This window comes from Homo sapiens, chromosome 17 (genome assembly GCF_000001405.40).
Source record: "Homo sapiens chromosome 17, GRCh38.p14 Primary Assembly".
Classification (NCBI taxonomy): Eukaryota; Metazoa; Chordata; class Mammalia; order Primates; family Hominidae; genus Homo; species Homo sapiens.
This window is the reverse complement of record NC_000017.11, coordinates 34,433,708-34,446,165: the sequence shown is the minus strand read 5'-3', so window position 1 is coordinate 34,446,165 and position 12,458 is coordinate 34,433,708. Positions and strand designations below refer to the sequence as shown.

Here is a 12,458-nt window from a genome sequence, read left to right as displayed (position 1 = left end):
TTTCTTAGCTTTCTTTTGAATGCACATATTTTATTGTATCTAAATATTTTCCAGTTGCCTTGAATTTTTGCTAATCCCCAGCCACTGCCCCTTTTGGGGCACTTGTCGTTACAGAATGCAGGAAATGAGATATGGGTCGCTCCATTATTTTTAGCTGCAATGAAACTTGTTACTGAAAGCACCTTGGGCTCCAGTGTTCTCTGAAGGGGAGGGCCCAGAATGGGAGGGAAATTCCTCATCTGAAGAGGCCAGCTAGCATCCAGAGAAGCCACTATTTAGGAAGTAGTGGGAAGGTTGTGCTTTGCTGGGCAGTGTTTAGAAGGTGGGCTCATTGAGTACGCCCCTCCTTCAAACCCTCACTTAATCTAGCCTTATCTGCAGCCTGGAGCCTCGCAAAACTAGCATATCCTCCCTAGATTGCTCAACCCTGGCAGAGCTGTTCCCCAGAAACCCTGGGTCTGGGAGGCCCAAATTTCTTCTCAGTATTCCCAGCCAATTTCTGCCCTCTTGAGGGTGCAGAGAAGGTGCTTATCAGGGGATTGGGGCTGCTGCCTAAGCTGTGATTACTGGGATAGAAGGGTGGCCCTGATGGTGTGTCCTGGGCCAGCGTGGCACAGACTTCCACTCCTGCTGCCTCGCTGCCAGCGTGCCAGCCCCAGGACCTCCATGGTGCTCATCTTGGATCTCCCCTTTGTGGCTTCTCAGACCAAGAACCAATTTTATCCATGAGTGAGCCTATATAATCATTTTCCGGTCTTGTCCACTGCTTGGGGAGGCTCCAGTGGGGGTGGGGACGGAAGCTGCTTGGACTGCAGAGGGTGGAGGGACAGGTCTGGCCTCAGTGGCGGGACAGCTGCCACTTCCTGCTGGAGGTGTCCAATCCTCTCCTGGCTGGCCGGCTCATGTCCCGCATGTTTTCCACGAGGAAACGGAGGCATTCATCAGCCCGAGTGAGGTCACTTTCAAGCCACTGTCAGAATCTCCTTCCCGATTACATTTTTGCCCTTAATGGATTTGGGGTGGAGCCCTGGTGAGGAGCACCTTCCCTGTGCACCCCCTCTCTCCCAGGATGAGTGTTGGGGCAGGGGAGAGGCACTCTGCCCAGAGCTTGGGATGCTACAGTGGGCCCAGAAATCTGAAGACCCTCTGAGCTCTCTAAAGCAGTCCCAACCAATCCAAATGCCATTATTTGTTATCAATTACAATCAGAGTCCCTGGAGACAGCCCCACCCTACACTTATTGATGGGGAAACTAAGACCCAGAAAGGGACAGTCACTCAGTTAAGCTTTCCCCAAACTGGTCTTCTGGCAGGACACACCTAGCTGTCACCCCTGCCTCCTCTCTTACCAGCTGCTGTCACTCGCTTTGGGCCCTGCAGCCTTGTACACATTTCCTCTGTGGGGGATAAGTCTTCCTAGACAAATCTGTTATCCTGGAGGGCCCCACGTCGCACAGGATAAGCACAGGGGTTGGCACTGATGGGTTGGGGTTCAATGCCTACCTCTGCCTCTTATTTACTATGTGACCTGGAGTGCATGATCCAACCTCTCCAAGTCTGTCTCTTTATCTAGAGAAAAACAAAGGTGCTGATAATAAAGTCTATCTTTCAGGCATGTTGTGAAGCTTGAATGAGATGTGACAACAGACCAACACAGTGTGTGGCACATGCTAAACAGTCAAGAAATCCTAGTGGTCAAGATTGTCACTGAGCCGGGGTGGGCTCCTATTCATCCTTCACAACCCTGCCAAGGCATTGCCTCCTCAGTGAAGCCTTCCCTGATGACCCCACACACAGACCTGAAGACTCTTGGGACCCTCACTGCTGCAGCTTCATTTTGGGCATGAATCACTTTCTGTTACCATTAATTTACATGTTTATTGTCTCTGCTGGAATGTGACCTTCGAAGGGAAGAGATATCTGTGTCATTCTCTGTTGGTGGGGCCAGAGCTGAGCAGAGGTGTCTCAGTGGTAGGCATCGAGTGGGGTCACTTTGGCTTGTTCATATCCCACCTCCCCAAGCCGGGGCTCCTCTCTTGTCCTTCTCTAAGTCCAATAAGCAGGCCCATTCTTCAGGGACTCTGTCTGCATTTGGTGGCCTTGGCTGCCCTCTCCTGACCACAGAGGGCAGAACTGCACCTGGGGTGAGGGTGAGGTTGGGGCTGGGGCAGAGAGGCAGGGAATTTGGGGGCATTAGCAGGAGGGCATTGGCCGAGCGAGGGTTCTACGTTCCTCTGTGTCTTGGGTCTCAGACCCTCTGAGCCCACAGGGGTAACCAGCAGAAGACTGTGTCGTAGGGGTGGGGAGGAGGCTCTGGAAGGGCTTATCCTCCTGTGAAAAGCCAGCCTTGCATGGCTCACAGGGGACCAACTCTAAAGATGATGCCAGCCCAGCTCACCCCGAAGCCGACCTCCCTAGCAGGCAGCCTCTGAGAATGACCCCTGGGACACACGGTATCACACACAGGTACCAGGGCTGGCTCACCAGCTCACTGCCTCACGATTATCTCCTGCCTTCCTTAGGGAGTGTGACAGATTGAAAGAAGATGGTTCCAGCTAAGAGAGTCCTATAATTATCAACTGCGGATTATTTTAATTAAAATGCTTTGCATCCTCAGTTCTTAATTTCTAAAATGATTATAAATGTTATTATTAAAGAAAAATCCTTGAAGTGAGATCCATAAATCTCCGCCTGTGCTGAGATGACAGGGCGAGCTGGTGCAGCAGAGGAGACCCAGCCTGGGACTGTGACTCCAGGGAAAGGGAGGGAGGAAGAGAGGAGAAGGGAGGGGAGAGAGGTTGGGAGAAAGAAAATGGAGGAAGGGTGAACTTAGGGGGTTCCACGTGCACCCCTCCCACTCCACCTTCTAGCATTTGGGACTGAGAAATCAGAGCAGATCTGGGTTTGGAACTTGCCTCTGCTGTTTGCTGTGTGAGTTTGGGCGTGTCAAGAAACCTCTCTGAGCTTGGAGTGTCTCATCTTTAAAATGAAAATAATTGCTAATTGCTGTCTGGTAGAACTATTTTGAGGCATGTCAATAACATGCATAAAGCACTTGTCATAGAGTAGCTACACTGTAGCAATTGTGATTAGCTCCACCCCCACGCTCAGGAGGGTTCTTGCCAGTCCTCTGTTGCTTTATAGCTCCATCCTTTGGCTGTCACAGGCTCATGACAGGTGTCTATCCCTCCCACTCCAGAGTGCTGAGGAGGGGATCGCAGAGGCATGATTGCTGCCAGCCCCAGTCTGGCACCAAGGGTGGCACCCTTAGGTTCCAGCAGCCTCCCGTCACAGTGGGTAGGGCCGGAGGAGAAGAGGCCAGCACTGTCACTTGAAACACAAGGAATTGCAGGCCCAGATAGGAAACTGTCTAGCCCAAGGTCATCCAGCAAATTGCTGGCAGGTCGTTTTACCCATTTTAGCAGATGGCTAAAGCCTGCCTCTTGTATTTATTTTAAGCCTATCTTTTTAATGACTGAGAACCAGGAGATGACGCCAATGGTGACATTGATGAGGCAGAGAAGGAAAGGGGTTGTCAGCATGGAGGTGGAGTAACCCAGCGCTGGCCTGGGGGTCAGGACACCTGGACTCTGCCCTGAGCTCTCTCCAGTCCTGGCTGCTCTGTGACCTTGGGCTGATCCCTTCTCTTCCCGGACCTTTGTTCCCTCCTCAGTGAAATGGGGATGGTAATCACTGCCCCGCTGACCTCTCAGGCTGGTGTTGAGGATTGTCTGAGATGATGGATCTGAAAGTGCTTTGTAAGCAGGAAAGCGTGAAGCAAATGTAGGAGATTATTAACATTAATATTAATGAACTCGCTCATGGTTGGCTACTGGCCACAGAAAAGAGAATGTTGGGAGTCTGGGGAAGATGAACTTTTCCAAGCCTCTGTAGGGTTTGCAGAGGAGTCGGGGATGACAATTCTCTGCATGATCATTTCTTAAACTCCTGTAGATACAAGTACTTGAGGAAAAATCTCTTGAGATTTTCAGCCAGGGAAACTGGTAATGGGTGCAGAGTGTACTAGGAGCAGGTATAGGAGGGGCCTCTCTCCCCCTGGCAGGGGCAGTGACAGAGAACACTCACTTTCTTATCTAAAGACTGATCTCTGGGCTCAGGAGGCATCTAGGATTGAGGGCTGAGCTGCCTTCTTGGACCCCACTGAAGGTAGTGGGGTTTCCTTCTCTATTCACATCCCCTCTACTTTCCTTAGAAGACTAACTCATGCTTCCTTGGGAAAATTGCCGGGTGGAAGAGATGAGGACAAAGGCCGGCTCTCGTTCCCTCTCCCTCCTCCTCCTCTCCCCATACACCCGCAAGTGATTGAGCCTTGCTTCTATAGCTGTAGCTGTGCATAGAGTTCATTTGCATCCTGGGTCATCCATCCATCCATCTGTCCATCTGTCCATCCATCCATCCATCCATCCATCCATCCATCCCTCCATCCATCTGTCCATCCAGTCATCCATCCAACCATATGTTCAGTAAGGCTTTGTTAAAGTCTAAGATATGCCAGGACCTGGACCCATAGGTGAATGAGACCCTGTCCCTGTGGTTAGGGCTCAAAGGCTGCTGCAGGATCCAGATGACGGACCTGCAAACAGGCCACTATACTACCTGCCAAGATTTGGTGCTATGGGAACATACTGGAGCCTGGGGATGAGGGGAGAGTTGTAGGAGAGATTTCCTGGGGGAAGTTGTGTCTAAGCTGAACCTCAAGGGAGGATGTGCATGCTCATGCCCTCATTACTTAGCTCACATGGAAAATTCCAGTTTCTTGTCTCATAGAAGAAGGAGGCGTAGATCCGTGAGGCTTGGAGGAACTCTGCTTGTGGAGAGAGTCCCAAGGAGATGCAGTACCTGATGATATAAAGCCTTCCACAGCTTCTGCCCGTAGAGCTTGGGAGTCAGAATCCCAAGAGGGACTTTGAACACCAGCTCTGCCTCAAACAGACTGTGCCCTCAGGCCTCCTCCCTAAAGATGGGAGCAGATCGCAAGGATCTAAGAGCTGCTTGTGAACAGCACTCCAGAAAGGGTAAAACATATTGTCATTCCTTATCATTGTGCTGTTCAGCTGCTGGAGGTGTTTTGGTATACCCAGCAGGACTGAGGCTTGGAGAGCTCTGCTGGAGTTTCTTTCAATATTTGTTTAATTTGTACCAATCATGAGGTTTAAGAATGTGAAGATCTACAAGATGTCTTTGCATTATATGTGCAGTGTGTGTGTGTGTGTGTTTGTGTGTGTGTGAGAGAGAGAGAGAAGAGAGAGAGAGAGAGAATGAGGCCTGAATGCTCACTTAGGACTGCAAGGAGCTCTGTGTGTGTGAAGTCCCCAGTGCACATATGCAGACTGGTGTGCACATACCCACACACTTCCTTCTGTCCCACAGCATCACCACACCCTTGACAATTCATGTTACCCCATCCCCTGACTGCCCTGGAGTAGCCCCAACTCACACTCACTTTGTTTCCAGGTATCTATCTCATTGGCACCTCAGAGCTAACATCCTGTTCCATGTAGTACAAACTTAAATGCAGACTTAGCAAATTACCCATCTATGCAAATGGCCCTATTCTAAGTAGACTTTGATGAGTGCTAGAATAAGGAGCCCAAATTCTGCACAGTGTGAGGGAGAGAATATTCTGGGGGGATTCTGGAGGGAGAGAGCATTTTAGCTGATTGCTGAAGGATGTTGGGTTTTTGCATGAGCAAAAATAAAGAGGCAGGATCGGGTATGGTGAGCGTTGGGAATGGCAGTGCTGAGAGCGGGTAGAGGGGGTTGTGCGGTGAGGGCTGTTGACGGTTGGTTGGGTGCCAGCTGGTGCCAGGTGCTGTGATGGTCATTCCATAAGGCCAGCAGCACCCAGAGAGTGGCTGGCTTTGGCTGCCAAGTGGAGCCATTGTGATGGGGAGTGTGCCTGAGCCTGGTGCCGAGGCCAGGGGAAAGCAGACCTGGGCCTCAGGGTGGTGGATCTGCAGTCGTGTGCTCAGTGGGCCTGGGGGCAGCTCAGAGGCTGGGGGCAGTGAAGCCTATTAGGAGGGGGCTGGGTCAGCTCAGGAGAAAGGCAGTGGGGAGGGCCGTGGGGACAGAATAAAAAGAGAAAGGGAGCATGGTGCGGTGGCTCACGCCTGTAATCCCAGCACTTTGGGAGGCCGAGGTGGGCGGATCACAAGCTCAGGAGATCGAGACCATCCTGGCTAACATGGTGAAACCCTGTCTCTACTACAAATACAAAAAATTAGCCAGGCGTGGTGGCAGGTGCCTGTAGTCCCAGCTACTCAGGATGCTGAGGCAGGAGAATGGCGTGAACCTGGGAGGCAGAGCTTGCAGTGAGCTGAGATCGCGCCACTGCACTCCAGCTTGGGTGACAGAGCGAGACTCTGTCTCAAAAAAAAAAAAAAAAGAGAGAGAAAGGAGGGGAATAATGGCGTAGGAGCCTAGACATGCAACTTCACACCCTAAGACTAGGAAGATGCTTCTAAGGAACACATGAGGGAAGACAGCTCAATGGGGTGGGGAGATGGCAAGCCTGGCATTTGGACACTTGAGCCCACTCCAGTCCTCCCCTTTCCCTGCAGAGAGGGGTGAATGAATGAGAAGCAACACTCACGGAGCACCTCTTGTGTGCTGCACCTACTGTGTGCCACACCCAGGGTACAGGGCTCTGAATCTGGTATTCAATACCCTCCTCCCAACAAGCCTGCCAGGCAGCTGCTATCGATCCATTTCACAGATAAGACAACACAGCCTTAAGGAAGTGGGTAACTGGCCAGAATCACAGGAGGAGGATCAGGTCTGACTGCACAGCCAGTGTTGGTCTCAACTCTCCTCCCTTTCTCCAGCTTGACCACCCTCCTCTCCCCTCCAACTCCAGTTACAGGCCCGCCCAGCCCATCTCCTCAAGGCACTCCTGTGAGCTGAGAAGGACAAGCACATCCTTTCTGGCTTCTACCCTCAAAGAACTCAGCACTTTGCAGTTGATTACTCCACAGCCCTTTGATTTGTGAGAGAAACTGGCGGCAGGGCTGTCCCTGGCCACCAGCAGAATTAGAGGTCTGGCTTCAGGTGAGCAAAGCTCCTTCCACCTCTCTCCTTCTCTTATTTTCCTTTCCCACCTCCTCTTCTGGCTTGTTTTGAAGCTTATTTTTAACAAGGGATTTGAAACTTCAGATGCAGCAAGGCTCTGGGACAATAGGAGTTGTAGGTTTGATGCTGACTGGCTAAAAGAGGGGCAGCCTGGAAGCAGATGGAGGTTAATGCTAATGTCGCTCAGCACCTACTCAGTGCAGACATCCGGCTCGGTGCCTGCAGCTGTTTTCTATTCCCCAACGCTCTTTGAGGGAGACTGTCCATTTTACAAGTGGGGAAACAAAGGCACACAGAGTTTGGAAAGGCCCCAGGTCACACAGCAAGGAATGGGGGGTACTCCAGAGCCCAGATCTTTGCCACTACCTGGACTGGGATGTCAGAAGTTAAAAGGGACTTCCCAGCCCTGTCCCCCTGTGAGATCACAGCATGGGAGCTCTGCCGTCCCCACTCCCAGACACATTTCTGGATGCTTAGAGATGTGTCTCCCAAGCCCAAGCTCATCCTTCTGGTGGCCCAGAAAAGGTTCCTTTCCTCCTTTGCTGTCCTTATCCGGAGTAACATGGGATTTTAAAATGGGAAAGACAATGTCCTAGCTCTGTGTGGCTCCTGTGTGACCAGGAGAAGAAAACCCTAGTCTAGGAACTTCCAGGGTCCTCACTCTGGTCCAATCTGGGGCTATGAGAAGGCTTTCCAAGGAGGTGACCACTAGTTTCCTTTACTCCTGCAGGAGCAGCCCTGTGAGGGGACAGCGTGGCGCAGTGAAGGGAGCCTGTCTTTGGTGTCTAACTGATCAGGTGGCCCTCCTCCTGCTACACACAGGAGAAAATCCAGAGCTTCCACTAGGGCTGGCCAGGCCCTGTCTGATCTGGGTCTAACCACGAGCTCAACCTTTTTCTTGCTCTGGGCACCAGCACACTGACCCCAGACACCATATCCTTTCCCTTCTCAGGGCCTCTGACATGCTGTTTCCTCTTCCTGGAATGCCCTTGCCCTCTTCTTGTCTGCTTGGTTCCTTTTCATCCTTTGGGCCTCAGAGAGGCTGCATAGCCCTGACCCACCTATCTGTGCCCACCCCCCCCCCATTATTTAATTTAATCCAAAGCACTTGTAACTGACTTTGTCAGTGCTGTGAGGACAGGAATAAGGCCTTCCCTGTACATCTTTGCATCCAAGTGCCTACTGTTAGCCTGAGCCCAGCCTAGACCACAGTAAGTACCAATTAACAAATAATTGCAATTAACAGCTCTGGAATCTCAGTTTCTGCATTTGTAAAGTGGGCATAGTAACATCTACTTTCTAAGGATGGTGAGAAGGTGAAATAAATACTAGTCACGATTAATATTAATTCTGGTCAAGTCCAATTAAGCATTGCTGATGCACTTACATATCTTAGAAACTTGCAGTGAGGAAACTGAGACTCTGGGAGGTGGCCTAAGACCAGCTCCTAGGAAAGCTGGCCATCATGGGGGGCCTGGGGCTCACTTCTGCCTTTGTCCATGCCTTCCGCTGTCCCTGGGATGATCATATAGCCTCTCTTGGCCTCAGTGTTTTTAATATGGAGAATGGGACCAGCGATGCAAGACCTCAGAGGGATGAGCAAGGCATAGAGACACTTCCCACGTGGAACAGAGAGCTAACCCGTAAGCCCCACCTTCACTGGCCACTCAGGGCTCATCCTCTCTGTCAGCTGACCCTGTCCCATTGCCCTTCAGCAGACTTCCCTCCCTACCTAAGGACATTTGCATGAGCAGAGCATCTTCAGCAACTGCATTCCCACCACCTGCTCATGTGGCTCTCTCCACACCTGAAGCCACAAATACATATGCAAAGGCCAGTTTATTAATTTGTGTTTGAGCGCAGAGCGGGGGTCACCGCCGAGAAAGGGGATTAGGCAGCAGCGGCGGGAGGCAACAGATGGCTTGATTGCTTTTACCTGTTGCTAATTTGTTAGGCAACAATCCCTCGTTTTTGTTTAATCGTGCCCAGACCTTGAGGCGGCAGGGCACCAGGCGCTTGATGGCACTTGGGTGCCTTCTCAGGGCGAAGGGTCAGGTGGCCTGCCTGGGAATTAAATACCAGAATCTAGAAATGAATGTCTCTTTCTTGTCCTGACTCTGATCCTCTCTTCAACTGGGCACTCAGAGTCCTCTGGAGTATATTAGCAGCAAGGAGGGTGCTGAGCCAGGAGGTGGCAGGGCAGGCTCTCTCATTCACCAGCTGTGTGACCTTCTGTAGGTCGCTTAGCATCTCTGGGCCCCATTTGCTCGGCTGGGAAATGTGCATCATCACACCTGCCCTATCTACTTTGCAGGGTTGCAGTGTGAACTGAGATAATGGATCTTAGAGCACTTTGACATGTGTAATGCTCTGTTATAGTGAGGCAATATTTGCTAGCAGAGCAGTTAAGTGCTTAGATTCTGGAGTCAGCCAGGCCTGGACTGAATTCCAGCTCAGCCACTTATACCTGTGGGGTCTTGGGTAAGAAACTTCAGCTTTCTGCACCTCAGTTTCCTTCCCTCTACAATGGGGTGCTAACAGTCCCTGTCTCAACAGGTTACTGGGAGGAGGGAATGTGCTAAAGCGTGGGGCAGGCTCAGCTCAGCTTTTTTAGAATGTGTGTGCCCTCCCAGTGAGCTGTCATTAGGATTCCATGGCTCCCCTTTGCAGCCTTGGTTTAAGACTTGCTGTTCTGTAAAGCCTGCTGTCATCTGTGTCTCCCTGCCCCAAGCTACTTGATGCTCTCTTCTCTGTGTCACCCTTCTGGTAGAAATTTGTTGGGGAGTTACTTCTTCCCCATCAGCTACAATCTGATAGGATGATAACCTGGAGCCTGTGATTCTATCACCAAAAGGACAGCAAGTGAACAAGCATAGCTGTCTTCTGGAGTTAGGAAGGAGGCATCAAGCTTCTGAAATACAGGGAGCTCATGTCCCCACAGCACAGGGCCCAGGACAAAGAGGTCTTGATTTCCCTGTTTTCATACCTGGCCTTCCAAGTGGCCCTGGTTCCCACCCATGTCCAGGCTGGACTCTCCAGGCTTCCTGCAGATTCTTTTGAGCCTTAGATAGATTATCAAGAAGTTTCCTTTTGCTTAAGTGAACTAGAATGCTTCTGTTGCTCATATCCAAGGTCCTGGCTGGATGCCTTGTAGGCAGCTCAATGATAGCGTGTAGAAACTTCTTTTTAATTAACTGCTTCTATGTTTGTCTCTATTACTTGCTTGTTTTGTGACGCTGGGCACATCACTTAACTTCTCTGCACCTCGTTTTTTCTCCTGTATAATGAGGGGAGGGAGGCTTCCTGGATTACTGGAAGGATTAAATGCCACTGTAGAGGTAAAGTGCCCTGCTCAGTGTCAAGCACATAATTGGCACTCAGTGATGACTAATGGATTAATTCTGTAACCACTGAGGACAAGTGGCATTACTTTCTTTTGAAATCACAAAGAACACAAGGCCTGCTAGTTTGTCAAGAAAGCATACTTTAGAGAAACTTGCTCGGGGGGTTACTGACTGAGAAGTCATTTTATCTCTCCTTGGCCTTCGAATTTGTCTCAAGGAAATGTGCAATTATTAGAAGAGATAAGATGACAGAAGGAATGGAAGGTGGCAGAATGCTCTCTGGGGCCAAGGGGTGAGCAGGAGGAGGAGGCCATGCAGAGGAGGGTGGAGGAAGAGCTGTGGAGGAGCGTGTGTGGGTTGCTTGTGGGAAGAGAGGGAGCAGGAAGGGCAAGGGGGGGAAGAGGGAAAGGAGGTAGGAGATGGAAGGAGGAAGAAGGGGAGACACAGAAACAGGGAGAGGAAGTGGAGAGAGGGAGGAGAGAAAGTGGTGGTGATAAAGATTCTGACTTCCATTCTTCACCCTTCATCATTTCCCTGACATCTCAACCTCCTCTTATGTCTGATTCTACACCTAAATAGCACCCTCCCCAAGGAACTCCTCCCCCACCCTGTCCCCACATTCAACCTGGGGACACATTGAACACTTCAGAGGTTTCTCTCCTTGGCCTGCAACCTTGGGGACAGGGCTCTCCCCACCAGGTCATTTCTCTCTCGTAGATTCTCCTTTCCTAGGTGGTGGTGACACAGGAAGTGCATGGGATAAGGACAACCCTGGTTTTGAATGTGGAGTCTCTCAGGTGTCAGCTGGTGACTTTGGGCCAATTCCAGACCTCTCTGCTCCTCTCTGTATGCAGTGTGGATGATGGTAACATCTGCCCTGCAGGAGCCCCTGTGTGTAAGCAGGAGGGCACCATCCTGACCCAAGTTCATGCAGTTAGTGCAGGGACCTCCCTGCATCACAGGAGAACCTCAGCATAGGAGGCAGGTATGTGCAACCAACTCAGTGCTACAGAGCCTGGTGACAAGCGAGGCAGACCCAGGGACAAGCCACTCATGATACTCTTGACTCTTCCCCATCTTTGTCTAGATGTTGGCCTTGAGCCATTAACAAGTCTCTCTTCTCCAAGGTTGCTCTGCCTGGGCAGCCTCCCCTGGAATCAAGAGAACAGGGAAGGAAAGAAAGGAGCCCATGCTGGGACCAGGCCAGTGTCAGTGAGCCTGTGTGCAACTCCATTGCATGCTCACATGGCCCAAGAGGCGGGTGGTATTGTGTTTTGTTAGAGGTGCTAACACCAAGGTTACTCAAGTTAAGTGACTTGCTGGACTCCTGCGGCCAGTGGAGCAAGGGATGGAGCACACAGAAGCCTGACCTCTTCTAGAGCACACCGGGTCCACTTTCTCAGTTCAGAAGCTTCTTTTTCATGGGCCCAGAAAGACCTAGAGAGTTTCACATCCCTTCTGACTCAGCAATCAGATCATTCTGTGACAGCTGGACTTTTGTAAACTCTAAGGCAACTTCCTTCCTCATACCATTGGCTCCCACTGTGTGCTTTTCTCCAGGAAGGTATGCTGACCACGCTTATGAACAGCAACCTGGATCATGGTGAAAAATAGCATAGATCAATAAGAATCGTGGGAATGGAGAACTAGGTGTTTGCCTGTCTAAAGCTAAGACACACATGCGGAACCCAACAGAAAGCAGCTTAACCTTAATCCAAAACTTAACTAATGTTTGCCAAGAAGTAGTTATTCCTGGAAAGCTAGCAACCAGTGACTTAGAATGTTGGGTCTTATCAGAAACCTGTGAAAGAAAAGAAAATTGTCATGGAAAAATAGCTTGTTTGCAACTTGGGAAGACCAAGAATAATGACCCATGAAAAAATCCAAAGGGAATCAGTTCTTAAAGGAAAGAAGACCCCCAGGGCAAGGTAGGGCTCCCTTCCCTCTCCCTGTCATCAAGGGACCTTTCCAACATGCATGCAGATTCTAAAAGGCAACACAGCATCTGGGTGAAGCTCGAAGACTT

The 12,458-nt window shown here is 50.6% G+C and overlaps 2 annotated features.

The window, feature by feature from the left end:
- Positions 795-1,295: an enhancer, noted in NCBI's record as "H3K4me1 hESC enhancer chr17:32771890-32772390 (GRCh37/hg19 assembly coordinates)". NCBI's record gives its function as "activates a minimal SCP1, AML or CMV promoter by ChIP-STARR-seq in naive H9 embryonic stem cells {active_cell/tissue: H9 hESC(naive)}" and the evidence as "EXISTENCE:reporter gene assay evidence [ECO:0000049][PMID:30033119]".
- Positions 1,699-2,198: an enhancer, noted in NCBI's record as "H3K4me1 hESC enhancer chr17:32770987-32771486 (GRCh37/hg19 assembly coordinates)". NCBI's record gives its function as "activates a minimal SCP1, AML or CMV promoter by ChIP-STARR-seq in primed H9 embryonic stem cells {active_cell/tissue: H9 hESC(primed)}" and the evidence as "EXISTENCE:reporter gene assay evidence [ECO:0000049][PMID:30033119]".